Raw genomic sequence first — 26027 nt, 5'->3', positions numbered from 1 at the left:
AAGTGCTGGGATTATAGGCGTGAGCCACTGTACCCGGCCTACAATATCTTAAGAATATAATATTAGTTTGTGAACAGGAGCTCCAGGACAGACAAAACAACAGCATGGGATTAAAGGAAAGCTGTGGACCTGAGGAAAGAAACTGAAGACCAAAGCTAGATTATTACAAGAGGAGTCAGTAATTAAAAACAGCAATGCTTAAATGGAAAGTAGAGAGGCAAAAGTAGAAGCAAGAGGAGGGCCAGGAGACTATTACACAGACTAAAGGTGGGGGTGAGTGGGTTGGAATGGCCGTGATTGGATGCTAGAAGGATCCGGCACTGACAAGAAAAGGGGAGGGACATTAGTGGGAAACTGGTAAAATCTGAATAAAGTCTTTAGTTAATAGTAATGTACTGATGTTAAATTCCTGGTTTCGATAACTACACCATTATACCATTACAAAAAACATGGCTGGGCAACCCCCTTTGGGTCCCGTCCCTTTGTATGGGAGCTCTGTTTTCACTCTATTAAATCTTGCAACTGCACTCTTCTGGTCTGTGTTTGTTACGGTTTGAGCTGAGCTTTCGCTCGCCGTCCACCACTGCTGTTTGCCGCCATCGGAGACCTGCCGCTGACTTCCATCCCTCCGGATCTGGCAGGGTGTTCACTGTGCTCCTGATCCAGAGAGGCACCCATTGCCATTCCTGATTGGGCTAAAGGCTTGCCATTGTTCCTGCAGGACTAAGTGCCCGGGTTCATCCTAATCGAGCTGAACACTAGTCGCTGGGTTCCACGATTCTCTTCCGTGACCCACGGCTTCTAATAGAGCTATAACACTCACCCATGGCCCAAGATTCCATTCCTTGGAATCCGTGAGGCCAAGAACCACAGGTCAGAGAACACGAGGCTTGCCACCATCTTGGAAGTGGCCCACCGCCATCTTGGGAGCTCTGTGAGCAAGGACCCCCGGTAACATTTATACAATGGAAATTTTCTACAGCAGTAAAATGGACTATGGATGCAAGTTCTGAACACATAACCATGGAAATATCTCAGAAACATATTGAGTGGCTACTCCCACTAGAACAACCACCCCTGTTGCCTCTGGAGACCAGAAGCAGCTGCCAGCTCTGGCACCTCCCATCATCAAGACAGACTGTGGCTTCCTTAGGGAGAGTGTATCTGACCGGCAGACCTGGCCATGCTGCAAGGCAGCCGGGGAAAGCAAATCTCTGTTACTTCCAAATTCTCTCATGGCAAGCAAGGTTTAGATTATGAGGTAGAAAATTTCCAAACTATAGAAAGGGGGATGAGAAAGGAGACAACTGAAAAGAATATCAAACATGACTATAGACCCCTACAAAAAGACAGGAGATATAGGAAGCAGGTGAGCCAGGAAAGTGGTTAATCTAAATAAGCTGTTCTTAATGTTTTAAAAGTAGTAACAATAGAGAATTGAATTCTCAGATAATATTTTATGGGAGATGAAGAAGAGATAGAGAATTAAAAACATTCTGCCCTTTGTCCAGTTTTGAAGATTAATATAGATAATGATTAACTCTAGGCATTGAAAGAAATATATATAAATATTCCATTAAAATGAAAAGATAATCCCTTTGGGGCAGTAATATTGGAATGGGAGGGAAGAAGGGTTTCAGGGGCACTGGTAATGTTCCTATGCTAGTTACATCAGTGTGTGAAAATTTATCAAACTGTACACTTATGATATGTATACTTTTCTTGTGTACATTATACTTAATAAAGTTTTTTAAACTTTAAAAAAAAAAAACAGGGATATGTAAGATGCTGATATTTACAGGACCTGAGTGAGAAGAATATGGAACCTCTCTTTTCTACGTTTCCAAGTTTTCTGTAAAGATAACATTAATTCAAAAGAAAAAGTTTTTTTTGTTGTTGTTTCTTTTTTTGTGAGACAGATTTTCGCTCTTGTTGCCCAGGCTGGAGTGCAATGGCGCGATCTCTGCTCACTGCAACCTCCACCTCCCAGGTACAAGCAATTCTCCTGTCTCAGCCTCCCAAGTAGCTCGGATTACAGGCACGCGCCACCATGCCCGGCTGTTTTTCTTTTGTATTTAGTACAGATGGGGTTTCACCAAGTTAGTCAGGCTGGTCATGAACTCCTGACCTCAGGTGACCCACCCACCTCGGCCTCTCCTGCGCCTGGCCAAGAAAATGTTTTTAAAAAGAAGAGCGATCAGGATGTGATGACGTCGCTGTAAGGTATGAGAGAGAGAGTCAAGATTGACTCAAAGGTTCTTTCCTGAACAATTGTGGTGTCAGGATATCCATTGGTTTTCATCCACAGTTACTGGCACATGACTCCCATAGCCCTTGCTACAGTCCTTTGTTATATTGTTGTGTTGGGCCTCATGGGCAGGCCCCTGACCTCCTCCTGGCTTTCTGATTGTGGGTCTTTTTTTTTTTTATTTTATTTTTAGATGGAGTCTCATTCTGTTGCCCAGGCTGGAGTGCAGTGGTGCGACCTTGGCTCACTGTAACTTCTTCGCATCCCGGGTTCAAGCGGTTCTCCTGCCTCAGCTTCCCAAGTAGCTGGGACTATAAGTGTGTGCCACCACGCCCAGCTAATTTTTGTATTTTTAGTAAATATGGTGTTTCATCATGTTGGCCAGGATGGTCTCGATCTCCTGACCTTGTGATCCGCCCACCTCGGCCTCCCAAAGTGCTGGGATTACAGGAGTGAGCCACCGCGCCCTGCCGTCGATTGCAGGTCTTAAGACTCTCCCATGAGAGGGTCTCACCCTATTCCCTGGGAGAAGGAATGCTGATATCATGAAGCTTTCATAAAACCCCAAGAGGACAGGGTTCAGTGAACTTCTGGGTAGGTGAACAGTGGAGGTTCCTGGAGGGTGGTGCCCAGGGAGGTATGGAAGCTCTGCCCCTTCCTCCAAACCTTGCCCTATGTGTCTCTTCACCTGTGTCCTTTACAATATCCATTATAATAAACCAGTGGGCCAGGCATGGTGGCTCACGCCTGTAATCCCAGCACTTTGGGAGGCCAAAGCAGGCAGATCACCTGCGGTCAGGAGTTCGAGACCAGCTTGGCCAACAGGACGAAACCCTGTCTCTACTAAAAATATAAAAATCTAGCCAGGTGTGGTGGCGCATGCCTGTAGTGCCAGCTTCTTGGGAGGCTGAGGCATGACAATCACTTGAACCTGGTAGGCGGAGGTTGCAGTGAGCTGGGATCGCACCACTGCACTCTAGCCTGGGCGACAGAGCAACACTCCGTCTCAAAAATAAATAAATAAAAATAAACCAGTGAACATAAGCGTTTCTCTGAGTTCTGTGAGCCACTCACAGGTAGCAAATTAATCGAAACCAAACAGGGGGTCAGGGGGTCATGGGAACCCCAACTTGAAGCTGATCTGTCAGAAGTTCTGCAGAGGCCCGGCCTTGCAACTGATGTATGTGAGGAGTCTTGGGGACTGAGTCCTCAACTTGTGGGATCTGACACTCTCTCCAGGTAGTGACAGAACTGAATTAGAGGATGCCCAGCTGGTGTCTGCTGCTCAGTGTGTGGAGAAAACCCCACACACATTTAGTCATAGGTCTTCTGTGTTGACTGTTGTGCGGTGTGAGAGTGGAGAGTTTTCTCTACACGACAATAAAATTGGAATGTCTGGAGGTAGGATGCAGGCACTGGTGTTTTTAATTTTTAAGTAGTCAAAGTGGAGAACTCCTAGTCTTCCCACTTCTCTCTGATGAAGAACCACTACATTAACTCATTTAAATTCGGTATGCTCAACTGGGCACGGTGCCTCATGCCTGCAATCTCAGTACTTTGGGGGGCCAAAGTGGGAGGATCATTTTAGCCCAGGAGTTCAAGACCAGCCTGGGCAACATAGACCCCATCTCTACAAAAAATTAGTAAGTTAGCCAGGTGTGGGGGTGCATCTGTAATGCAGCTATTTGGGAGGCTGAGGTGGGAGGATCACTTGAGCCCAGGAGATCAAGGCTGCAGTGAGCTGTGATCACACCACCACACTCCAGCCTGGGTAACAGACTGAGATCCTGTCTCAAGAAATAAAATAACAAATAAATTCAGTACACTCCTGTGCAATGGGTAATTTTTACATTTCTATTTTGCAAATGAAACTGAGATCACAGATGTTACATGACTGGGTGATCCACAGTCAAACAGCTAGTAAGTGGCATGATTCACATCTTCTGACTCCAAATTCATTCTCCAGCCAGTGAGTGGGAGCCCGTGCAGAGCATCAGGAGCACTGAAGAGAAGACATTCTTCACAATGGCAGCCCCCATGGCTCTGAGCACCCCTGGGAATCCAGGGTTATAAACTGGAGTCATCGGGGTCTTGGCTGCGCATCCCACAGGGACCACCTTTGCACGGTGTGTCCTGCCATTGTGCCCCACACTGGTTGGGACAGGTCATGGGCATAGCAAAAGGTATCTGGGCACATTCAGCAGGTCAGAGAAACCTCCCAGCCTAGAACACACTATGAGCGTCTCTGAACCACTCCCTGTGTTTGCCTTTTGCTCTGCATGGGGTTTAGCACTTGCAGGCACTTGGAAATTTCACTCGCCCTTGGAAACTCCGTTCCCCCATAGCCTGTCTTTCATCCTGCTTCCTTCTCACCCCATTTTGCCTCTGATCCTCACATCCTCTAAAGTGGAGTTCCTACAAAGTATATGCACCTTTCTCATGCTACAGTGTACTGTAGCTCATTTTGTAATTCTGATATAACTCTCTGACATTTTTGTATATTTATGTTTTTATTTTTATTTTTTGGAGACAGAGTCTTGCTCTGTCGCCCAAGCTGGAGTCTAGTGGCAAGATCTCAGCTCACTGCAACCTCCGACTCCTGGGTTCATGCAATTCTTGTGCCTCAGCCTCACGAGTAGCTGGGACTACAGGCGCGCGTTAACCACAACTGGCTAATTTTTTTGTGTTTCAGTAGACACTGGGTTTCACCATGTTGGCCACGCTGGTCTCGAACTCCTGTCCTCAGGCAATCTGCCCACAGTGGCCTCCCAAACTACTGGGATTACAGGCATGAGTCACCGTGCCTGGCTGTATTTACTTTTTTTTTTCTTTTTTTGAAATGGAGTCTCACTCTGTCGCCCAAGCTGGAGTGCAGTGGCTTGATAACCACAACCTCCGCCTCCCAGATTCAAGCGATTCTCCTGTCTCAGCCTCCTGAGTAGCTGGGATTACAGGCATATGCCATCACGCCCGGCTAATTTTGTATTTTTAGTAGAGACGGGGTTTCTCCATGTTGGTCAGGCTGGTCTTGAACTCCCGACCTCAGGTGATCCGCCTGCCTCAGCCCCCCAAAGTGCTGGGATGACAGGCATGAGCCACTATGCCCGGCCGGGTATTTACGTTTTTAAATTGTTTTCTGTGTAAACTCTATAAGGGCCAGGGATTTTTTGCACCGCTGTTGGCAGCCCCTAGGACAATGCCTGGCCCTAGTAGGTGTTCGATAAATATATACAGGTTGAATATCCCTTAACCGAGATGCTTGGCACCAGAAGCATTTAGGATTTCAGATTTTGGAATATTTGCATTATACCAATTGAACACCCCTAATCTGAAAATCCAAAATTAGAAATGCTCCAATGAGGCCAGGTGCGGTGGCTCATGCCAGTAATCCCAGCACTATGGGAGGCCAAGGTGGGAGGATCACTTGAGGCCAGAAATTCCAGACCAGCCTGGGCAACATGGTGAAGCCTCCTCTCTTAAAAAAATACAGGCCGGGCGCGGTGGCTCACGCCTGTAATCCCAGCACTTTGGGAGGCCGAGGCGGTGGATCCATCCCTTGAGCCTAGGAGTTCGAGACCAGCCTGGGCAACACAGTGAGACTCTGTGCTAAAAATACAAAAATTAGCGGACATGGTGGCAGATGCCTGCAGTCCCAGCTACTGGGGGTTGGGACGCTGAGGCGGGAGGATCGCCATAGCCGGGAAAGTCGAGGCTGTAGTGAGCCATGACCGCGCCACTGCATCCCAGGCTGGGCAGCAGAAGTGACAGCCTTTCTCAAAAGAAAAGAAAGTTAAAAGAAGAAAAAAGAAGTGCTCCAATGTGCATTTCCTTTGAGCATCAGGTCAGCGCTCAAAAACTTTCAGATTTTGAAGCATTTCGGATTTCAGATGTTTGGATTAGGGATGCTCAACCCGTATTGATTTAATATGCGGTGGAAACGTGACGACCTAGGTTTTAAGTCGCGGTTTCCTCAGTGGTGGGTTTGGGGTATTACCCCTGCCTGGCCGGCCTCCGGGCTTGTTTCCAGAAGATGCTACCCCGAGAGCTGCGAACCGCCAAGCTCCGCAGCGCGCAGGGCTCCGACAGGGACCAGCGAGGTCAGCTCCAAGGGTCACCCCAGGCTCCAAACTGGCCAGAGCCGCCCTGAGATTTGCGGAGGCCGCCTTGCCCCCACCCCGCCCCGCAATCCCGGACCCGACCCGCCCCCTCTCCCGTTCGCTCGCCCCGCCCCCTGTTCGCCCACTGCGCCGGGACACCGAGGGGGCGGTGCCTCGAGGCCGGGAGGAGTGTTGCGTCGCGGCCTCCAGACACAAAGAGCGGCCGGCGGTACGGGGGTGGTGCCGCGCTCCTGGCCCCGCGCGGGCGGACGGCGGAGGCGCCTCCCAGGTGAGCCGGCCCGGGCGTCCGGCGGGACATTCAGGCGGCTGGTGGGGTCGAGAGTCCGGGGCCGCCCCTGCGTCGCGACCCGCGCCTTAGTCACCAGACCCGGCTCCGGGAGCGCGGCCTCGGGTGCTCCTCGCGGTGCGGGGCGCAGACTCGGCGCATCTGCTGTGGTGCCTGCTCTTCCGGTCGCCCTCGAGGGCGGGGCGGGGGTCACGCCCTAAAATACAGCGCCCGCTGGGCCGAACGCTTGAAAACCCGGTTTCCCGACGGCGGCGGCGCGGGCGCCGTGCGAACGAGGGCCCGGGTCCAGCACAGCCCCAAGGCTCGGCCTGAGGCGGGCGGCCTTGGCCGGGGCCCCCCGTGGTAATGAGCTACGCGGTGCCCGCCGCCTGCCCAGCGCGGGCCGTTTCTCCTGACGCCGCCGGCGTCTGGTCGAGGCCCAGGATTCCCTCCTGCCAGTGTGGCTGCGGCCCCCCACGGAGCGGGACCCGCGTTCGTGGCGCTTGGGACGGTTGATTGAAAGGGTGTAGAAGTCTGTTGCGAATTTTATCTGTTGTACTCGTTTTGCAGATTCGCCCCTTTCCTCCCGCCTGTGCGCGCAGTCACACACACCATGTGGGAGTCTCTGATCGCGTTGGGTTCATAATCATCGATCGTGCCTGGGTACTGATGCCCCATTGTTAGGAGCTCTGTGTGGGGCTGTATGTTTGCACAGGACTCACGTGAGGAAGGGTGGCCACGTTTCTTTCTGCTCTGTGAGACTTAGGCCAAGCCCTGGAACTAGGGAGGAGGTTCAGGAAGAGACCCATGAAGCTGGCGGGGCCTTGGAGAAGGGCAAGTGATTTTCAAGGTCAGTAGTAAGAGGGGTCATGAGTAATGGTAAGTTTCTTAGCGGCCTTTGCTGTGACTTCTAGGTTTTTCACACTGGACTTAAAATACTTTTAAAAGCAGAGTTTTTGTTCTTCTTGTTGTTGTTCTTGTTGTTGTTGCTGTTTTTGAAACGAAGTTTCACTCTTGTTGCCCAGGCTGGAGTGCAATGGCGCCATCTCGGCTCACTGCAACCTCTGCCTCCCGGATTCAAGCGATTCTCCTGCCTCAGCCTCCCGAGTAGCTGGGATTACACGCCCAGCTAATTTTTTGTGTTTTTAGTGGAGATGGGGGTTTCACCATGTTGGCCAGGCTGGTCTCGAACTTCTGACCTTCAGGTGATCCAGCTGCCTCGGCCTCCCAAAGTTCTGGGATTACAGGCGTGAGCCACTGCACCCGGCCAAGTTTTTGTTTTGTTTTGTTTTTGTTTTTTAATTTTATTTTACTTTAAGTTCTGGGATACATGTGCAGAACGTTCTGGTTTGTTACATGGGTATACATGTGCCATGATGGTTTGCTGCACCTATCAACCCGTCATCTAGATTTTAAGCCCCACATACATTAGGTATTTGTCCTAATGCTCTCCCTCCTCTTGCCCCCCACCCGCCCCGACAGGTCCCGATGTGTGAGGTGTGTGATGTTCCCCTCCCTGTGTCCATGTGTTCTCATTGTCAACTCCCACTTATGAGTGAGAACATGCGGTGTTTGGTTTTCTGTTCTTGTGTTAGTTTGCTGAGAATGATGGCTTCCCACTTTATGCATGTCCCTGCAAAGGACATGAACTCATTCTTTTTTATGGCTACGTAGTATTCCATGGTGTATCTGTACCACATTTTCTTTATTCAGTCTATCCGTGATGGGCATTTGGGTTGGTTCCAAGTCTTTGCTATTGTAAATAGTGCTGCAATAAACATACACGTTTATGTGTCTTTATAGTAGAATGATTTATAGTCCTTTGGGTATATACCCAGTAATGGGATCACCGGGTCAAATGTTATTTCTGGTTCTAGATCCTTGAGGAATCGCCACACTGTCTTCCACAATGGTTGAACTAATTTACACTCCCACCAACAGTGTAAAAGCGTTCCTATTCCTCCACAGCCTCTCCAGCATCTGTTGTTTCCTTGCTTTTTAATAATTACCATTCTAACTGATGTGAGATGGTATCTCATTGTGGTTTTGATTTGCATTTCTCTAATGACCAGTGATGATGAGCTTTTTTTTTAATATATGTTGTTGGCTGCATAAATGTCTTCTTTTGAGAAGTGTCTGTTCATTTCCTTTGGCCACTTTTTGATGGGGTTGTTTTTTTCTTGTAAATTTGTTTAAGTTCCTTCTATATTCTGGATATTAGACCTTTGTCAGAAGGGTAGATTGCAAAAATTTTACCCCGTTCTGTAGGTTGCCTGTTCACTCTGAAGAGTTTCTTTTGCTGTGGAGAAGCTCTTAGGTTAGATCCCATTTGTCAGTTTTGGCTTTTGTTGCCATTGCTTTTGGTGTTTAGTCATGAAGACTTTGCCCATGCCTATGTCCTGAATAGTATTGCCTAGGTTTTCTTTTAGGTTTTTTATGGTTTTGGGTTTTACATTTAAGTCTTTAATCCATCTTGAGTTAATTTTTGCATAAGGTGTAAGGAAGGAGTCCAGTTTCTGTTTACTGCATATGGCTAGCCAGTTTTCCCAGCACAATTTATTAAATAGGAAATCCTTTCCCCATTGCTTGTTTTTGTCAGGTTTGTCGAAGATCAGATAGTTGTAGAAAGCAGAGTTTGTTTTTTTTTTAAGTAGTTAAAACTCATCTGTTAAACAGAACACTGAATCAGCAGCCTAGCAGTTTTATGAACTGTGTGCAAGAATGCTTGTATATTAAAAGGAAAATGTTCAGGTGTTAGAGAAGCAGTCTACTTTCATGCTTGTCCCTTTTGTTTGACTTATACATCATCCATTAGTGGTTTAAATGATGACAGATTGAATTGATCTGTATTGGCAAATAAAAGTGGGATGTGTGTTTATGTAAAGTTCAGGTGCAATAAAAATTAGAGGATAACTCTTTTTTGTAGAATGAGAAAATAGCAAGCCTTCTCCAAGGAACTTGGACTTCAGATTTTTTCTTTTTAATGTAGAGCCGGGAGTCTTGCCCAGGGTGGTCTCCAACTCCTGGGCTGAAGTGATCCACCTGCCTCAGCCTCCCAAAATGCTGGGATTACAGGTATGAGCCACCACACCTGACCTCAGATAACATTTAACTCCATCAAATTGGAAAGAAAGCACTTTATAGAGGAATAGTTAGGACTTAAGCAAAAAGTTTTGTTTTTTGTTTGTTTGTTTGTTTGTTTTTGATATGGAGTCTCGCTCTGTCGCCAGGCTGGAGTGCAGTGGCGCGATCTCGGCTCACTGCTACCTCCACCTCCCAGGTTCAAGTGATTCCCCTGCCTCAGCCTCCTGAGTAGCTGGGATTATAGGAGTACACCACCATGCCCAGCTAATTTTTTTATTTTAGTAGAGACGGGGTTTCACCATGTTGGCCAGGATGGTCTCCATCTCCTGACCTCGTGATCCACCCCGCTCGGCCTCCCAAGGTGCTGGGATTACAGGCGTGAGCCACCACGCCTGGCCGGACTTGAGCAAAATTTAATTGAGCAGTTTATATTAACTTCAATGGAAACTTTTTCGCTAACTCATACTTATCCCATATGTTGTGATTTATAGGACTGCTCTAAGGTGGGTGAATTGATATGGTCATTTGCTAAGAGCATGTTGTAAGTCTTTTAATGTTTGGGTATCCTTTGAACATTTGGTGATGGAAAATAGAATAACAAGAATGGCAAAGTTCCAACAGTGTCTGTAGCTTCCCCTTTTACAGTGAGTTCAAGTTCCTTGGAGAAGGCTTGCTATTTTCTCATTCTACAAAAAAGAGTTATCCGCTAATTTTTATTGCACCTGAACTTTACATAAACACACATATCCCACTTTTATTTGCCAATACAGATCAATTCAATCTGTCATCATTTAAACCACTAATGACTCTTTTTAAGTTTTTTAGAAGATGGCACATGTGGCATTTGAGACTTAGAGCATGTGAGCGGGGCTCTGTGAGCACATTCTTTCTATGGTGGACATTTACCTTTGGATTTTTTTTTTTTTTAAACTGAGAAGGAGTCTCGCTCTGTCACCCAGGTTGGAGTGCAGTGGCACAATCTTGGCTCACTGCAATCTCTGCCTCCCGGGTTCAAGCGATTCTCTTGTCTCAGCTTCCTGAGTAGCTGGGATTATATGTGCCTGACCACGCTCAGCTAATTTTTGTATTTTTAGTAGAGACAGAGTTTCGCCATGTTGGCCAGGCTGGTCTCAAACTCCTGACCTCAAATGATCCACCTGCCTTGGCTTCCCAAAGCGATGATGGGATTGCGGGCGTGAGCCACTGCACCCAGCCTACTTTTGGATCTTGCCATGAGCAGGTAGCTACTAGATAGCTTTCCTCTTTCCTGGCACAAGACAGATTTGGAAGCAGGAAGCAAAAACAGGAGCAGTGTCTTGGCCTCACACCTGAACTGGCATGGCTTCCTAGCTGCAGGTAATAGCGTCCTCTGCCCTGGAAGGCATTTCCAGCGCTGTGGCCACTTTGCTGTTCCATTCCTTGGTTATTGTGTAAGTAGTTAAGCCGCGGTGGCTGTAACTGGAATCTAGGTTTGAGTTTAGCTTAGTCCTTGGCTTCAAGTGCAGATTAGGAATTCAGGCCCAAGGCCAAGACATTTGGTTACTCACAAGCTGAGGCCAAAAGTTTGGGTCATACTCTACCTGGAGCTATTTGGAGGCAGGCTTTCCTTCTCCCACCTTGGGGCAACTTTGAGCCTCCTGGATTCTGATTATTGTTGTTTGTGAATGGACAGACAATTTTCTGGGACAGAGGAGTCTTTTAGAGCATGGCTTGTATTTTCATCCTTTTTTGACCTAGGTTCAAGCATGCATCTGGCGCTGCCTGGTTGTACTTCCCTTTCTGAACCCGATTGTCTTTCCTTGGACTTCAGAAAGATAATGGAGCCTTCCATCATCCTCCAAGCGAGGTGACCCGTTTCCCTCAAGACTGCTGTATAGTCTCCCTGGAGTCGAAGTCATTTGTTAGTTTCTGAAACAGGAGAGCTCTCTAGGTACCTCTGAAGCAATCAAGTTTGAGAACCTCTAGGATATACCAATTTTTGTGCATTGATTGTTACTTTGTATCTCATAAGGGGCAATCATTACATTTTTTTTTTTTTTTTAGGTGGAGTCTCACTCTGTTGCCCAGGCTGGAGTGCCATGGCGCAATCTTGGCTCACGGCAACCTCTGCCTGCTGGGTTCAAGCAATTCTCCTGTCTTAGCCTCCTGAGTAGCTGGGATTATAGGTGTCCACCTCCACGCCCAACTAATTTTTGTATTTTTTAGTAGAGACGGGGTTTCACCACGTTGTCTACGCTGGTCTCGAACTCCTGACCTCAGGTGATCCACCCGCCTCGGCCTCCCAAAGTGCTGGGATTACAGGCTTGAGCCACCATGCCCAGCCCACACATCTTCTTATAACCTTATTTTTGGATCTGCTTTGTTGAGTAAAGTAACAATTTTGGTTTGTTGGAGTTTCTAAGAGTGGTCAGAGACCTGAGGGGCAATCACTCTTCAAAATCTCTCAGTTTTTAAGCCTCTGGTAAAGAATTTTACATTTGTAGAGTATATCAGTTAGGATATTTTAGCCACTAGTGTTGGAAAACCCAACTCAGTCTGGCTTAAATAAACAGGGAGTTCACCGAAGACCTCAGGATGGGCTGCTCCATTGTTGAAGTGGCCCTGAGGGACGCAGGTGGCTTCTCTTCTGCACACAGCCTCTCACATCCATGGAGAGAGGGAGCTTGGCTTCTGTGGCTTCTGTGCCTCTCTGAAGAATGAGGAGTGACAGCTGGTGCCCCCAGCCAGGGTAGTGGAGTCCTGGGCCATTTGAACCAGTCACCAGGAGGCCTCCCCCGGCTGTCTCCAGAGGCAGGGTGGCGTGGGGGTGTGGGGACAGGAAGGACAGGCTTTTGGGTGCCTGGTCCGTGGGGGCTGTGTGAGCCTCACCATAAGGTAGCGTGTCACCTGTGCCCAGTCCCCGTGCATGACTTGTGCACTGGTTGTGGCTGCCAGAAATGGAGCTCAGGTCTCCTGGTGTTTTGTTTTTAAATTTTGAATGAGCATTCAGTAGGTGCCAGGCACTGTTCTCAGTGTTTTTGTTAAATTCTTTCACGGAGTACTCATAGCAGGAGGCTGAGCCGGGGTGTACTGTTGCCCCCATCTCACACACAGAGAGTGCGAGGGTCAGAGAGGATAATAACATACTCAGGGTCACATGGAGGTCAGGGGTGCTCCGGTCTGGAGAGGCTCTGCAAATTCCATGTCCCCTGCTGTGCCTCCCAACACAGTGGGGTTTCCAACATCCCTTACTGCCTCCGAGGGACTATATCATTTCTTTACCTTAACAAGAAGATGAGGTATTTTCAGTGCTAGAGAAAAGCTGTGACTTATGTGATCCTGTCTACACATGCTGGTTGAGAAGCAGTATGAGGACTGTTAGCTCAAAGTCCCATTTTTATTTTATTTATTTATGTTTTAGAGACAGGGTTTCACTGTGTTGCCTGGCTTGACTTGAACTCCTGGGTTCAAGCATTCTCCCACCTCAGCCTCCCAAGTAGCTGGGACTACAGGCATGTGCATGACTCCATTTAATTTAATTTAATTTAATTTTGCTTGAGCTTTACTGCTTGATCAAATTCCTTTTTTTTTTTTTTTTTTTGGAGATGGAGTCTCGCTCTGTCACCCAGGCTAGAGTGGTAGTGGGCGATCTCCGCTCACTGCAAGCTCCACCTCCCAGGTTCACGCCATTCTCCTGCCTCAGCCTCCTGAGTAGCTGGGACTACATGCGCCCGCCACCATGCCCGGCTAATTTTTTCTATTTTTAGTAGAGACGGGGTTTCACCGTGTTAGCCAGGATGGTCTCGGTCTCCTGACCTCATGATCCACCTGCCTCAGCCTCCCAAAGTGCTGGGATTACAGGTATGAACCACTGCGCCCAGCTAATCAAATTCCATTTTTAAGCAAGAGTATTAAGGACTTAATGAATTGTGCTTTGCTTTTTGTGGCTTTGTGTGCGTGTGTGCGCCCATGGAAATAACATTTCAGGGCCGGGCGAGGTGGCTTATACCTGTAATCGCAGCACTTTGGGAGATTGAGGCGGGCAGATCACTTGAGGTCAGGAATTTGAGACCAGCCTGACCAACATGGTGAATCCCCGTCTCTACCAAAAATAGAAAAATTAGCCAGGTGTGGTGGGGCACACCTGTAATCCCAGCTACGCCAGAGGCTGACATGGAAGAATCGCTTGATCCTGGGAGGCGGAGGTTGCAGTGAGCCAAGATTGCGCTACTGCACTCCATGGGCGCCAGAGTGAGATTCCGTCTAAAAAAAAAAAAAATCACGCCTGTAATCCCAGCACTTTGGGAGGCCGAGGCAGGCAGATCACCTGAGGTTGAGAGTTCAAGACCAGCCTGACCAACGTGGAAAAACCCCATCTCTACTAAAAATACAAAATTAGCCAGGTGTGGTGGTACATGCCTGTAATCCCAGCTACTCCATAGGCTGAGGCAGGAGAATCTCTTGAACCTGCGAGGTGGAGATTGCAGTGAGCCGAGATCGCGCCATTGCATTCCAGCCTGGGCAACGAGAGTGAAACTCCATCTCAAAAAAAAAAAAAAGAAAAGAAAAGAAAATATTTCAGAAAAATGAGTCTGTTCCTGGGACTAGGACAGTAGTAAGCCCCGAGCTTCTGCTGGCCCCACACAAAGAGGGGTGGTGGGCTCCCCCGCCAGGATGGACCTCACAGGAGCTCTATTCACAAAGAGGACCTCCAGGTTCCCCTTAGAGTCATGGGTGGTGTCAGACCCTAAACATGAGAACCAGCATCAGTCAATATAGTGCAATATTCACTAACTTGGAGTTTTCGTTTCAAGGGCATAGGAATGTAGTAAACAGCTATTAATTATTTAAAAATCAACAGGGAGAGTCTGCTCGGTGCAGATTTTGAGTAGGTTGTCCCAACCCCAGGGAGAGCTCCTTGTATCTGGAAGGCCTCTGCCTGTCCTGTACTCAAGTGACCTGAGGAGGGATGTGCTGGACTGTCCGGCCACGTGGCCTTGGGACTTCCAGCCATGCTCGGGAGGAGGACAAAACCAGGCAGGCAGAAGTGGGTAGCGTGCCAGGTCTCCAACACAGGAGAGGCGGCAGGGCCTTGAACAGACTTGGGGACGCGTGTCTCCATGTGGACCAGTGAGTAAAACTGAGTACCCACGGTCCTGGGATGACCAGCAGGGACTCCAGAGGGCGGGCTGCAGCCCGGCCAGTTAGCTCCCTGCTTCAGGCAACGTTGTCACTGCTCTCCAAGGCCCCAAATGAAGGTAAGTGACAGGCTGAGATTTTCCCCAACTCTGGGTAGGGACAGAAACGTGGATGCCCAATTTCGGAACCCCACAATCTACATTAATGGCCTGTACTGATTTCTGGTACGGTTCCTCAGGAAACTGTGTCAAGCAGGATGTTTGCAGGGGCAGGTCTGAAGTGGACACAGTCCACAGCCTGCATAGTTCAAGACCAGCCAGGCCTTGCTCTGTGGCAAAAGTTTTAAACTGTACTTGATAGTGTACACTGTTGCACAGCTTTAAAGCGAAGCAATTCTTGATACATTTTAAATTCTTACTGAATTTTTATTATTTCCAACTGTGCACATAAAGTAAGACTCTTATCATTGTAGACTTTCACCACTTAAAATTCTCAGGCTGGCACGGTGGCACATGCATGTAATCCCAGAACTTTGGGAGGCTGAGGTGAGAGGATCTCTTGAGTTCAGGAGTTCGAGACCAACCTGGGCAATGTACTGAAACCCCATCTCTACCAAAAAAAAATGAAAAATTAGCTAGGCACAGTGGCATGTGCCTGTGGTTCAAGCTACTTGAGAAGCTGAGGTAGGAGGATCACTTGAGCACGGGAAGTGGAGGCTACAGTGAGTGGGGATGCACCACCGCACTCCAGCCTGGGTAACAGAGCAAGATCTTGTCTCAAAAAAGTAAAATAAAATAAAAATGAATAAACTTCTCATAATTCAAACTCACATAAAGGTGACTACCCTGCTGCAGTCACCATGCTAACCAAGCGATTGCAGTTACTGTCACCAGTTATGAGACATCTGTGCCCCCCATGAGATGTGCCAAGGACACACCTGACCCAGGTGTTCCTGCCACCCTTGAATCTAATTGTGCAGACACCAGACAGACTCTGGGACATTCTACATAACGCCCTGCCTGTGTCTACTCCAAAGACTTCAAAGTTCAGAAACAGAGACTGAGAAAATGGTCTGGTTTAAAGGGACAGGAAAACCGTGTACAGTGCTTGTCTCTGAATTGGAAACTGGACTGGGGTGAAAAAGATAGCTGTAAAGGACATTGTTGGCACCATGGACAGAATTTGATCTGAATGGTGGATTGTATAAATGTCAAATTTCCCTAGTTTGTTGTACTGTGACTGTCTCCTTGAGCTTAGTGAATACATTTTGAACTATTTAGGGATACAGGGGCACAAAGTCTGATACCCGATTTCAAATGGAGAAGGAGAGGAGCAGGGGTAGATAGATGATATGGAGGGAGGGAGGAAGTGAGGGAGAGAAAATGACAAAATGGTTGTGGTAAAGGGGAAAAGTGGAAACAGGTGGTGAAGCCAGCCGAGTGAGGGAGTATTGGAGAATTTTTTGTACTATTCTTACAAGTTTTTTTTTTTGTTGTTTTGTGTTTTTTTTGAGACTGAGTACTTGCTCTGTCGCCCAGGCTGGATGGCGCGATCTCGGCTCACTGCAACCTTTGCCTCCTGGGTTCCAACAATTCTCCTGCCTCAGCCTCCTGAGTAACTGGGATTACAGGCCCACGCCACCATGCCCAGCTAATTTTTTACTTTTTAGTAGAGACGGGGTTTCACCATGTTGGCCGAGCTGGTCTCGAATTCCTGACCTCATGATCCATCCACCTTGCCCTCCCAAAGTGCTGGGATTACAGGCGCAAGCCACCACACCTGGCCTATTCTTTTTTTTTTTTTTTTTTTGAGACGGAGTCTCGCTCTGTTGCCCAGGCTGGAGTGTAGTGGCGCAATCTCGGCTCACTGCAAGCTCCGCCTTCTGGGTTCATGCCATTCTCCTGCCTCAACCTCTGGAGTAGCTGGGACTACAGGCGCCTGCCACCACGCCCAGCTAATTTTTGTATTTTTAGTAGAGACGGGGTTTCACCATGTTAGCCAGGATGGTCTCGATCTCCTGACCTCATGATCCGCCCGCCTCGGCCTCCCAAAGTGCTGGGATTACAGGTGTGAGCCACCGCACCTGGCCTATTCTTTTAAATTTTCTATACATTTGAAAGTTTTTCAGAATAACAAGTTAAAAAGCTAGTCCTATATTCACTGCCATCTAAAGACCTCCAACCAATAAAAAGTTTACTATATTTCATCTATTCTAAGATAAACCTTTTTTTTTCTTTGCTTGATAGTATTTTTGACTTGGGGGTACATTTAAAAACTGATGCCATCTTAGCACTGGGTCACATTTTGACAGCAGTTTTTCGTCATCATTTGTCTTAGAATTAGTGGCATCTCAAATTTGATGAAATACTGTATTTTTCTCTGGCTCTGTTATGTGAGGAGGTGGGAAAAAAGAAGACTCCTAGGAGCTTTGCATGTGACATTTTTTCAGCCCCTCATGCCCACATCTACACTCAAGGATTCCACCCCCATACCATGTAGCTACATTAAACTCAACATATTCCAGACTGGATTTCTGTCTGCACCTCTATCTACCATGCCAATCTGTGCTTCCTCTGTTTCCTCCCTCAAGGAACAGAAACCTGATATTTAGCCACCGATGGCCCCAGAAGGTCCAACAGGAGGAGCTCCAGGACCTGTCTAGGAGGGGAGATGTGGACACTTCCTGTAAAGTGGGGCATGCATGAGGAGGAGGTGGCCTGGATCCTTCCCTTTCTGGGTAAAGGGTGGAAGCGGTGTGGATTCTTTACTTCGTGTGTTCTGATAGCCATGTGTCACTGTGTACTTGTTCTTTGGGTCTTCACATCTCCTCCTGTTGCATTTTAAAGCATTTCAATGGCATTTTTATGCCTAATAAAGCATTCTCCTAGAAAAAAAAAAAAGACGGTGGTGGGCACAAGGCCCTTGCCCAGCCATGCCATGGCACAGACACTAGCTTTGTTTCTTGAAATGACTTTGGGATCCAGATGTCTGTGCTTCATTTTCTCCATTGTCAAGTGAGAATAGTTTTCCTGAGTCAGTTGAGATAATGGACAAGGGAATTTAAGGTGCCATAAAGCTCTAAAATTCTGTGATTTAAAATAGGGGACTTTTGAAACAGTCATTTATACTAGAATCATTCAAATAACAGATACACTTTAGGCAAACAGCTCTGAGCGCAGACGTCAGTGAAGGGCAGGGGTGTGGCTGGTTTCTCTGCTTCCTGACTCCCCACACTCCTTCCCAGGTTTCTTTCCCTTATTGGTTCCTGTTTCTGGGTGATTTTTACACTGGATGCTTGCAGGGAATTCATTCCTGACCACCAGGAACAGGTGTGCTGTATGGAACAGGCTATGGCCTGATGCTCCAGGCTCTTGTCTGCTCCAGGGTCCCTAGTCACCGCCATGTTGGAAACTTTTCAGGTCTCCTCAGACCTTGAACTCTATGTGTGTCAGACTTAGAAATGGTTCCATGCAAAGTCTTTTTAGTTGACTCAGGGGAAACTGCATCAGCCCAGGATTGTAACATTTTATTTTAGTTTATTTTGTTTGGCATGGACTTCAAGTAGTTGCAATAGCAAAATATGGTAATTTTCCCATCAATGGGCTCCTCAGATTGCTGTGTTTTATCTACATTTAGGTTGACAGGCAATTCTGAATCCTCTTTTAGGGCCTTTGAATTGTTGGTGTTGACACTGACCTTCACAGCAGGCTCATTCTTTAGAAATAGAAACCCCAAATGTTCAGGCCTCTGTCAGAGTCTGTGCACTTTAGGATACGTGTAGAGAGCGTAGAAGAGCATCAGTGTTGTGTGTTATGCCTCTAGGCTCCTAATCGCATGGCTGGAATTTCAGATATGAAAGTTGGAATAATCATGAGAAAAGGGGTAGACTGTTCTTAGGATTTTTCAGCATAGATTTTATAGGCTATGTTATTTTATTCTTTAATTTTTTTTTTTTTTTGAGATGGAGTTTTGCTCTTGGCGCCCAGGCTGGAGTGCAGTGGTGTGATCTCGGCTCACTGCAGCCTCCGCCTCCCAGGTTCAAGCAATTCTCCTGCCTCAGCCTCCCGAGTAGCTGGCACTACAGGCATGTGCCACCATGCCCAGCTAATTTTTGTATTTTTAGTAGAGACAGGGTTTCACCATGTTGGCCAGGCTGGTCTGGAACTTCAGACCTCAGGTGATCCGCCCGCCTCGGCCTCCCAAAGTGCTGAGATTACAGGTGTGAGCCACCACGCCTGGCCTATTCTTTTATTTCTTTATAGTCAACATGAAACTAGAAAGGTTACACCCAGGTTCTGGGGAAGAGAAAGTGTCTCAGTTTTATAACAGATGGATAGAATGGACCGGGACGTGGAATGTTTGGTTGAAGTATTGCTTTTTTGTTCTGGGGAGGAAGCAAGTTAATATTCTTTCCTTATAATTCAGTTTACTAATACAGATTCTTACATGACACTAGGGCTTTTCAGGTTGATTTAGAGCTGGAAGAGACATTTTCCGTGTATTTTGGATATCAAATTCCTGTACTTATTTCATGGAAAAACTTTTAGAAAACTATCAAAACTACCTTATATGCTTGTGTGCTGTTAGTAGGTATGGGGCAGTATGTAAAGGTTTGTGTTCCAACTCTGGCGTTATCACTCACTGTGAGTTCACTTAGCAGATCTGTGACCTTGGGCAAATTGCTTAGCCTCTTCTGTGGCTCAATTTCCTCACCTGTAAAATGGGTAATAATAGTGCCTTCTTCAGAAGGATAAATTCCAAAGTGCCTAGGAATGTGTCCAGTACATGATGAGCACTCAAGAAATACAAGTTTTATATCACCAAAAGATAATTACAAAAGCAAGCACCGTAGTGAGGGGTCAGTGGTAGAGACACCTCTCCAGTGGCTCTGACAGCTCAGAGAGTGGGCCCCAGCACTGCACTCCCAGGGAGGGAGTGTTAAGAAAATCTCCTGGGGCCGTTTTTTTTCCCCTCAACCTTTAAGGTCACTTGACTGAAACAAAAATAAATTGCAACAATTGTCTCATTAAAAAAAAAAAACTACTCAGAATGGCAAAATGTGCAAACACTTCAAAAAAGTATAAACTTAGGCAACTTAAAGGAACAGACTGTATTACTAAGATGCTGTGGTGACCCTGCAGGGTCTGTCCTCATGTCCTCCTGTGTCTGCACATGCGTTCTGCAGAGTTGAAAGCTGTGTGTGCTAGGCTTCTGCTGAGTTCTCTTGGTTAGTGTTTTTATAGACAGGTGTCTGCATGTTGACACAGTACATGGCCTGTTAGCTTCAGTGCTGTTGAAAATATATACCGTGATGTGTTTCCCTTTTGTTAGGATTTTGATTTTTTGCTGAGCTAAAGCAACCTTTTTTTTTTTTTTTTTTTTTTTTTTCAGACAGAGTCTCACTCTCTTGACCAGGCTGGAGTGCAGTGGTGTGATCTTGGTTCACTGCAACCTTTGCCTCCCAGGATTCAAGCAATTCTCCTGCCTCAGCCTCCTGAGTAACTGGGATTACAGGCGTGTGCCACTATGCCCAGCTAATTTTGTATTTTTAGTAGAGACAGAGTTTCACCATGCTGGCCACACTGGTCTGAAATTCCTGACTTCAAGTGATCCACCTGCCTCAGCCTCCCAAAGTACTGGGATTCCAGGTGTGAGCCACTGTGTCCAGCCTAAAGCAACTTTTAAATAGCATTCCATGAAGAGTTTCCAAGTCTTCCTGTTTTCCTTCTCTCTGGACTAAAATGTCTCCACCTTCCTTCCTCCCTGCAGCCCTGTCACTGTGTACTCAGGCTGCTGCTGGGGCAGGTGTGCACTGAGTTCTCTTATCACAACCTCCCAGCAGGCTCCTTCGAGGAGTGCTGGAGGGTCTGGGCTGGCCAGGCTCACACAGGCCCACTCCTTGACCCTGGCGTGCCAGACACCTTGCCCCTGGTGAGACAGGGAGGGAAACCCTTTCTTAAGTTGTTTTAATTTGTGTTTCCTTAATGATGAGCAGTACTGTGGCTATGAAACCTGCTTATTATAATGAAAGGCAAGATTATCCCCTTACGTGATCAGCCTTCCTTTTTCTGGATATTTTGACGTGGTTCTTACAGGAGTAAAGACATCATAGTCGTAGCAAGCTGTGGCATCCTCACCCAGCCAGCCATCGGGGCTTACTTATTAATGAGTGAGAAAGGGGAGCTTTCATGGTGACAACACCTACTTATAGAGCAGTCATCAGTTTTTTTCAGAATAATAACATCTACTTGCCCAGGATTTGGCTGGGCGCGGTGGTTCACGCCCAGCACTTTGGAAGGCTGAGATGGATGGATCACTTGAGGCCAGGAGTTTGAGACCAGCCTGGCCAACATGGTGAAACCCCGTCTTTACAAAAAATACAAAAATTAGCCAGGCATGGTGGCGTGTGCCTGCAGTCCCAGCTACTCGAGAGGCTGAGGCAGGAGAATCGCATGAGCCTGGGAGGTGGAGGTTGCAGTGAGCTGAGATTGCGCCACTGCACTCCAGCCTGTGTGACAGAGTGAGCAACTCCTTCTCAAAAAAAAAAAAAAAAAAAAAAAAGTCTACTTGCCCAGGATCTCTGACATTTTGGAAAAGCTAAAAAAAAAAAAGTATCTGTATTAGTTCGTTCTCGCACTGCTATAAAGAAATACCTTAGACTGGGTAATTTATAAAGAAGAGAGGTTTAATTGGCTCAGGGTTCTGCAAACTGTATAGGAAGCATAGCGGCTTCTGCTGCTGGGGAGGCCTCAGGGAGCTTCCAATCATGGCGGAAGGCGAGTGGGGAGTGAGGTGGCTCACACAGTGGGAGCAGGAGCATGAGAGAGCAAGCGAGGAGGTGCCACATGCCTTTAAACAACCAAATCTCATGAGAACTCACTATCCTGACAACAGCACCAAGGGGATGGTGCTTACCCATGAGAAACCGCCCCCACAATCCAGTTGCCTCCCACCAGGCCCCACCTCCGGCATTGAGTATTATAGTTGAACATGAGGTTTGGGCAAGGACACAGATCCAAACCATATTGGTGTCTATATGAATTCTTCTCTGCAATTTCTAGCTTTTGTTTTGTTTTGAGACAGAGTTTTGCTCTGTCGCCCAGGCTGGAGTGCAATGGCCCAATCTCAGCTCACTGCACCCTCTGCCTCCTGTGTTAAAACGATTCTCCTGCCTCAGCCTCCCAAGTAGCTGGGACTACAGGTGCCCACCATGCCCAGCTAAAATTTTTTTTTTTTTTTAGTGGAGACAGGGTTTTGCCATGTTGGCCAGGCTGGCCTCCATCTTCTGAGTGATCCTCCTACCTTGGCCTCCCAAAGTGCTGGGATTACAAGTGTGAGCCACCACGCCCGGCTGCAGTACCTAGCTTTGACAGAGAATCAGATGTGCCAGCGAGGCTCCTGAGAAAGCTCTGGGTGGTTCCTTGACAGTCGTGACATTTCCATAGTGACAAGGGTAGTGGGGCTCAGTTGTGGCCCTGCTGCATTCAGGAAGGACTGCTCTTCCTGTGGCTGCTTCCTCCGCCTCCGTGCTTGCTCCACACCAGGCCATGCCTTCTGCCTCTGAGGGAATCTGGGTTACCAGTCGTCGGCCTCTCAGGTGTCGCTCAGAACATATCTGCACCCACATCTCTCCTGCCTCCTGCAGGGCCTCCCAGGAGGAGGTGACCTGCCCACTTCCATTCATCGCTGTCTTGCCCTCCAGGCTCTGAGACATGGGCCGCTGGCTGCTGTGGAAGAGCTGCAGGCATGCAGTGGCTTCTGCACCAGCATCCCACCCTACTGCTGCTCCAACCCAGCACTGTGGCGCTCCCTTGGGAAGCATTATCACAGACGCTCCCAGGTAAATGTAAATTATCTTGTTTAATAAAAACACGTATAAACTCCTTGGCATGTATGCACCTGCAGCAGGATAAGTTATTCAAACTTGCTGTTTGGTTTTCAAGTGTTTGTAGATTTTCCTGTTGTATCTTTCTATTACTAATTTAATTTATATAATTTATTTCTAATTTAATTTTTTTTTTTTTTTTTGAGACAGAGTCTCGCTCTGTCACCCAGGCTGGAGTGTAGTGGCGCTATCCTGGCTCACTGCAACCTCCACCTCCTGGGTTCAAGTGATTCTCCTGTCTCAGTCCTGCTAGTAACTGGGATTACAGGCATGCATCACCATGCCCGGCTAATATTTTTTTGGTAGAAACGGGGTTTTACCATGTTGGCCAGGCTGGTCTCAGAAACTCCTGACCTCAAGTGATCTACCCACCTGGGCCTTCCAAAGTGCTGGGATTACAGGTGTGAGCCACCACACCCAGCAGGAAAAAAAAAAATATTTTGTAGAGACAGGGAGGGGTCTCAATGTGTTGCCCAGGCTGGTCTCAAACTCCTGGCCTCAAGTGATCCTCCTGCCTCAGCCTCCCAAAGCACTGGGATTATAGGGATGAGCCACCACACTCAATTCCAAATTCAATTTCTTTCTTCAATTTCAGGGCTGCTATTCAGATCATCTCTTTCATCTTGGAAAAGTTCTGATTGTGGTTTTTAAGAAATTGGTGGCAGGGTGTGGTGGCTTACTCCTGTAATCCCAGAACTTTGGAAGGCTGAGGTGGCAGGATCACTCGAGCACAGGAGTTTGAGACCAGTCTGGGAAACATAGTGAGACACTGTCTCTACAAAAAAATTTAAAAAATAAGCCAGGCATGGTGGCACGTGCCTGTAGTCACAGCTACTCAGGAGGCTGAGGTAGGAGGATTGCTTGAGCGGAGGAGGTTGAGGCTGCTATGAGCCATGATCAGGCCACTACTCTTCCCGACTAGGTGACAGAGTGAGAGTCTGTCTTTAAAAAAAAAAAGTAAGAAAGAAATTGGTCCTTTTAATCTAAACTGTTGAATTTATGTGTGTGGAGTTTATAGTATCCTATTATTTAGTACTCCTAAATAATAGGAGTTTATTATCCTATTATGCCTGCAGAATCTGTAAAGATACAATTCTCTCTTTTATTGCCAATAATGGCAGTTTGTCTTTTTTTTTTTGAGATCTGACAAATGAAAATTTGTAAATTCTTTCTCTTTTTTTCCCTTCGTTAGTTTTGCTAGAGGTTTATCAATTTTATTGAACTTCAAAAATCAGCTTTGGGTTTTACTGATTTTTTTTCTATTACTTTTCTGCGTTCAGTTTTATTGATTTCCCCTCTTTGTTATTTTCATTCTTCTGCTTGCTTCAGTTTATTTTGCTCTTTTTTTCTAGTTACTTGAGCTGGAAGCTGAAATTATTGATTCAAGCCCTTCTTTTCTATTATAAGCATTTAATAATAAATTTTCCTCTGAGAACTGCTTTAGCTGTATCCCACAGATTTTTGTATGTTGCATTTCATTTCATTCAGTTTAATATATTTAATTTTTTTCTTGCAATGTCCTCTTTGACCAGTGGATTATTGAGAAATGATGTGTTGTTTAATTTTCAAGTGCATGGAGATTTTCGGTTGCATCTTTCTATTACTGAATTCTAATTTAATTTTATTATGGTCTGATAGCATATTTTGTATTATTTCTATTCTTTTAAATGTATTGATATATGTTTTATGGCCCAAAATATAGAATATCTTTTTCTTGGCTTCATGGTATATGAGAAGTCTGATGTAATACTTAACTTTGCTCCTAAGGGTTTTTTTTCTTCTGGCTTCTTTCAGGTTTCTCTTTGTTTTGGGTTCCTGCAGTTTGAATATGATAGGTCTAGGTCTTTCTTTTGGTTTTCTCCAATTTGAATATGATAGGTCTAGGTCTTTCTTTTGGTTTTCTCCAATTTGAATATGATAGGCCTCGGCCTCGATTTTTTGGTATTATCCTGTGTGGTGCTCTCTGAGCTTCCTGAGTCTGTGGTATGGGGAAATTCTCAGCCATTATTACTTCAAACATTTCTTCCTCTCTTTCTACTTCTAATGTTCCCATTATGCATGTGTTACACCTTTGATAATTGTCTCATAGCTGTTGAAGATTCTGTTCTTCCTCCACTCTACCACCCCTATTCTTTGTTCTCTTTGCTTTTCAGTTTGTGAAGTTTCTATTGAAATATTTTCAAGCTCGTTGATTCTTTCCTCTACCATGAGCAGTCTACTGATGAGCCCATCAAAGGTATTGTTTTAAAAGAAAATTTTTTTTTTGAGACAGGGTCTCACTCTGCTGCCCAGGTTGGAGTGTAGTGGTGAGATCATAGTTCACTGCAGCCTCAAACTCCTGGGACTATAGGTATGCACCACCATGCCTGGCTAATTTTTAGATTTTTTTTTGTCTCACTGTGTTGCCCAGGCTGGTCTCAAACTCCTGGCCTCTAGTGACCCTCTTGCCTCAACCTCCCGAAGTGGTAGGATTACAGGTGTGAGCCACTGCACCCAGCCAGCATTCTTCATTTCTGTTACAATGGTGTTGCTTTGTTTTCATTTTTGTTGTTGTTGTTGTTGTTGTTTGTTTGTTTTAGAGATGGGTCTTGCTGTGTCACCTAGGTTGGAGTGCAGTGGTGTAATAATAGCTCACTGCAGCCTCAAACTCCTGGGCTCCAGCAAGCCTCCTGCCTTGGCCTCCCAAAGCACTGGGATTACAGGCATGAGTTACCATGCCGGGTCTGTTACAATGTTTTTGATCTCTAGCATTTTCTTCTGATTCTTTCTTAGAGTTTGCATATTTTTATGAACCTTACTCATCTTTTTGTATGTTGTCCACTTTTTCCCATTACAGCCCCTCACATGTTAATCATAGTTATCTGAAAGTCTCAGTCTGATCATTGCAAAATCTTTGTCAGATCTGAGGTGGGTTCTGATGCTTGCTTTGTGTATTCAGACTTTTTTTTTTTCTTGACTTTAATTTATCTTATAATCGTTTGTTGAAAGCTGGACATGATGTATTGATTGGGCTATAGGAACTTAAGTAAATGGATCTTTAGTGTGAGGTTTTGTGTTTCTCTGCCTGGCAGTTAGTCTGGGTTTAATGTTTATTGTAGCTGTAGATGGCAGAGGCTTCATATTCCTCCCGTGTCCATTTTTGTTTCCCAACTATTTTTGGATTTTTCTAGATACTCCTTAAGTGGTGTATGAGGGTTCTCCAGAGAGACCAACAGGGTATCTGTCTGTGTATTTATGGATAATAGGTATGTGAGAGGGGATGTGTTAGGAGAACTGACTCATGTGACTGTGGAGGCCGAAAAGTCCAGT

The 26027-nt window shown here is 46.5% G+C and overlaps 1 protein-coding gene across 14 annotated transcripts in view, besides 2 other annotated features; it reads left to right on the top strand.

Annotated features, from left to right (window-relative positions):
- Positions 6494-6623: a silencer, noted in NCBI's record as "silent region_12753". NCBI's record gives its function as "represses an Ori minimal core promoter by ATAC-STARR-seq in GM12878 lymphoblastoid cells {active_cell/tissue: GM12878}" and the evidence as "EXISTENCE:reporter gene assay evidence [ECO:0000049][PMID:35858748]".
- NINL (ninein like) overlaps positions 6558-26027 on the top strand; it is a 132835-nt gene continuing 113365 nt past the window's right edge. For 8 of the 14 annotated variants that reach the window (XR_007067446.1, XR_007067445.1, NM_001318226.2 and 5 more), the window contains exon 1: positions 6558-6634. Coding sequence is in view for 6 of the 14 variants with exons in the window: in XM_047440023.1 (XP_047295979.1) it covers positions 17504-17570 (67 nt within the window). In the remaining 8 variants the exon portion in view is untranslated. Of the gene's footprint in view, positions 7511-16875; positions 17571-26027 lie in introns of those variants that run through there. The other 6 variants (XM_047440026.1, XM_047440020.1, XM_047440025.1 and 3 more) reach the window with 3 other exon arrangements.
- Positions 12682-12976: a silencer, noted in NCBI's record as "tiled region #10614; K562 Repressive non-DNase unmatched - State 22:ReprW". NCBI's record gives its function as "represses a minimal TATA promoter and a strong SV40 promoter by Sharpr-MPRA in K562 cells {active_cell/tissue: K562}" and the evidence as "EXISTENCE:reporter gene assay evidence [ECO:0000049][PMID:27701403]".

The sequence above is a fragment of the Homo sapiens genome, chromosome 20 (assembly GCF_000001405.40).
Source record: "Homo sapiens chromosome 20, GRCh38.p14 Primary Assembly".
Lineage (NCBI taxonomy): Eukaryota > Metazoa > Chordata > Mammalia > Primates > Hominidae > Homo > Homo sapiens.
The sequence above is the reverse complement of the archived record's forward strand: the minus strand, read 5'-3'. Positions and strand labels throughout refer to the sequence as shown.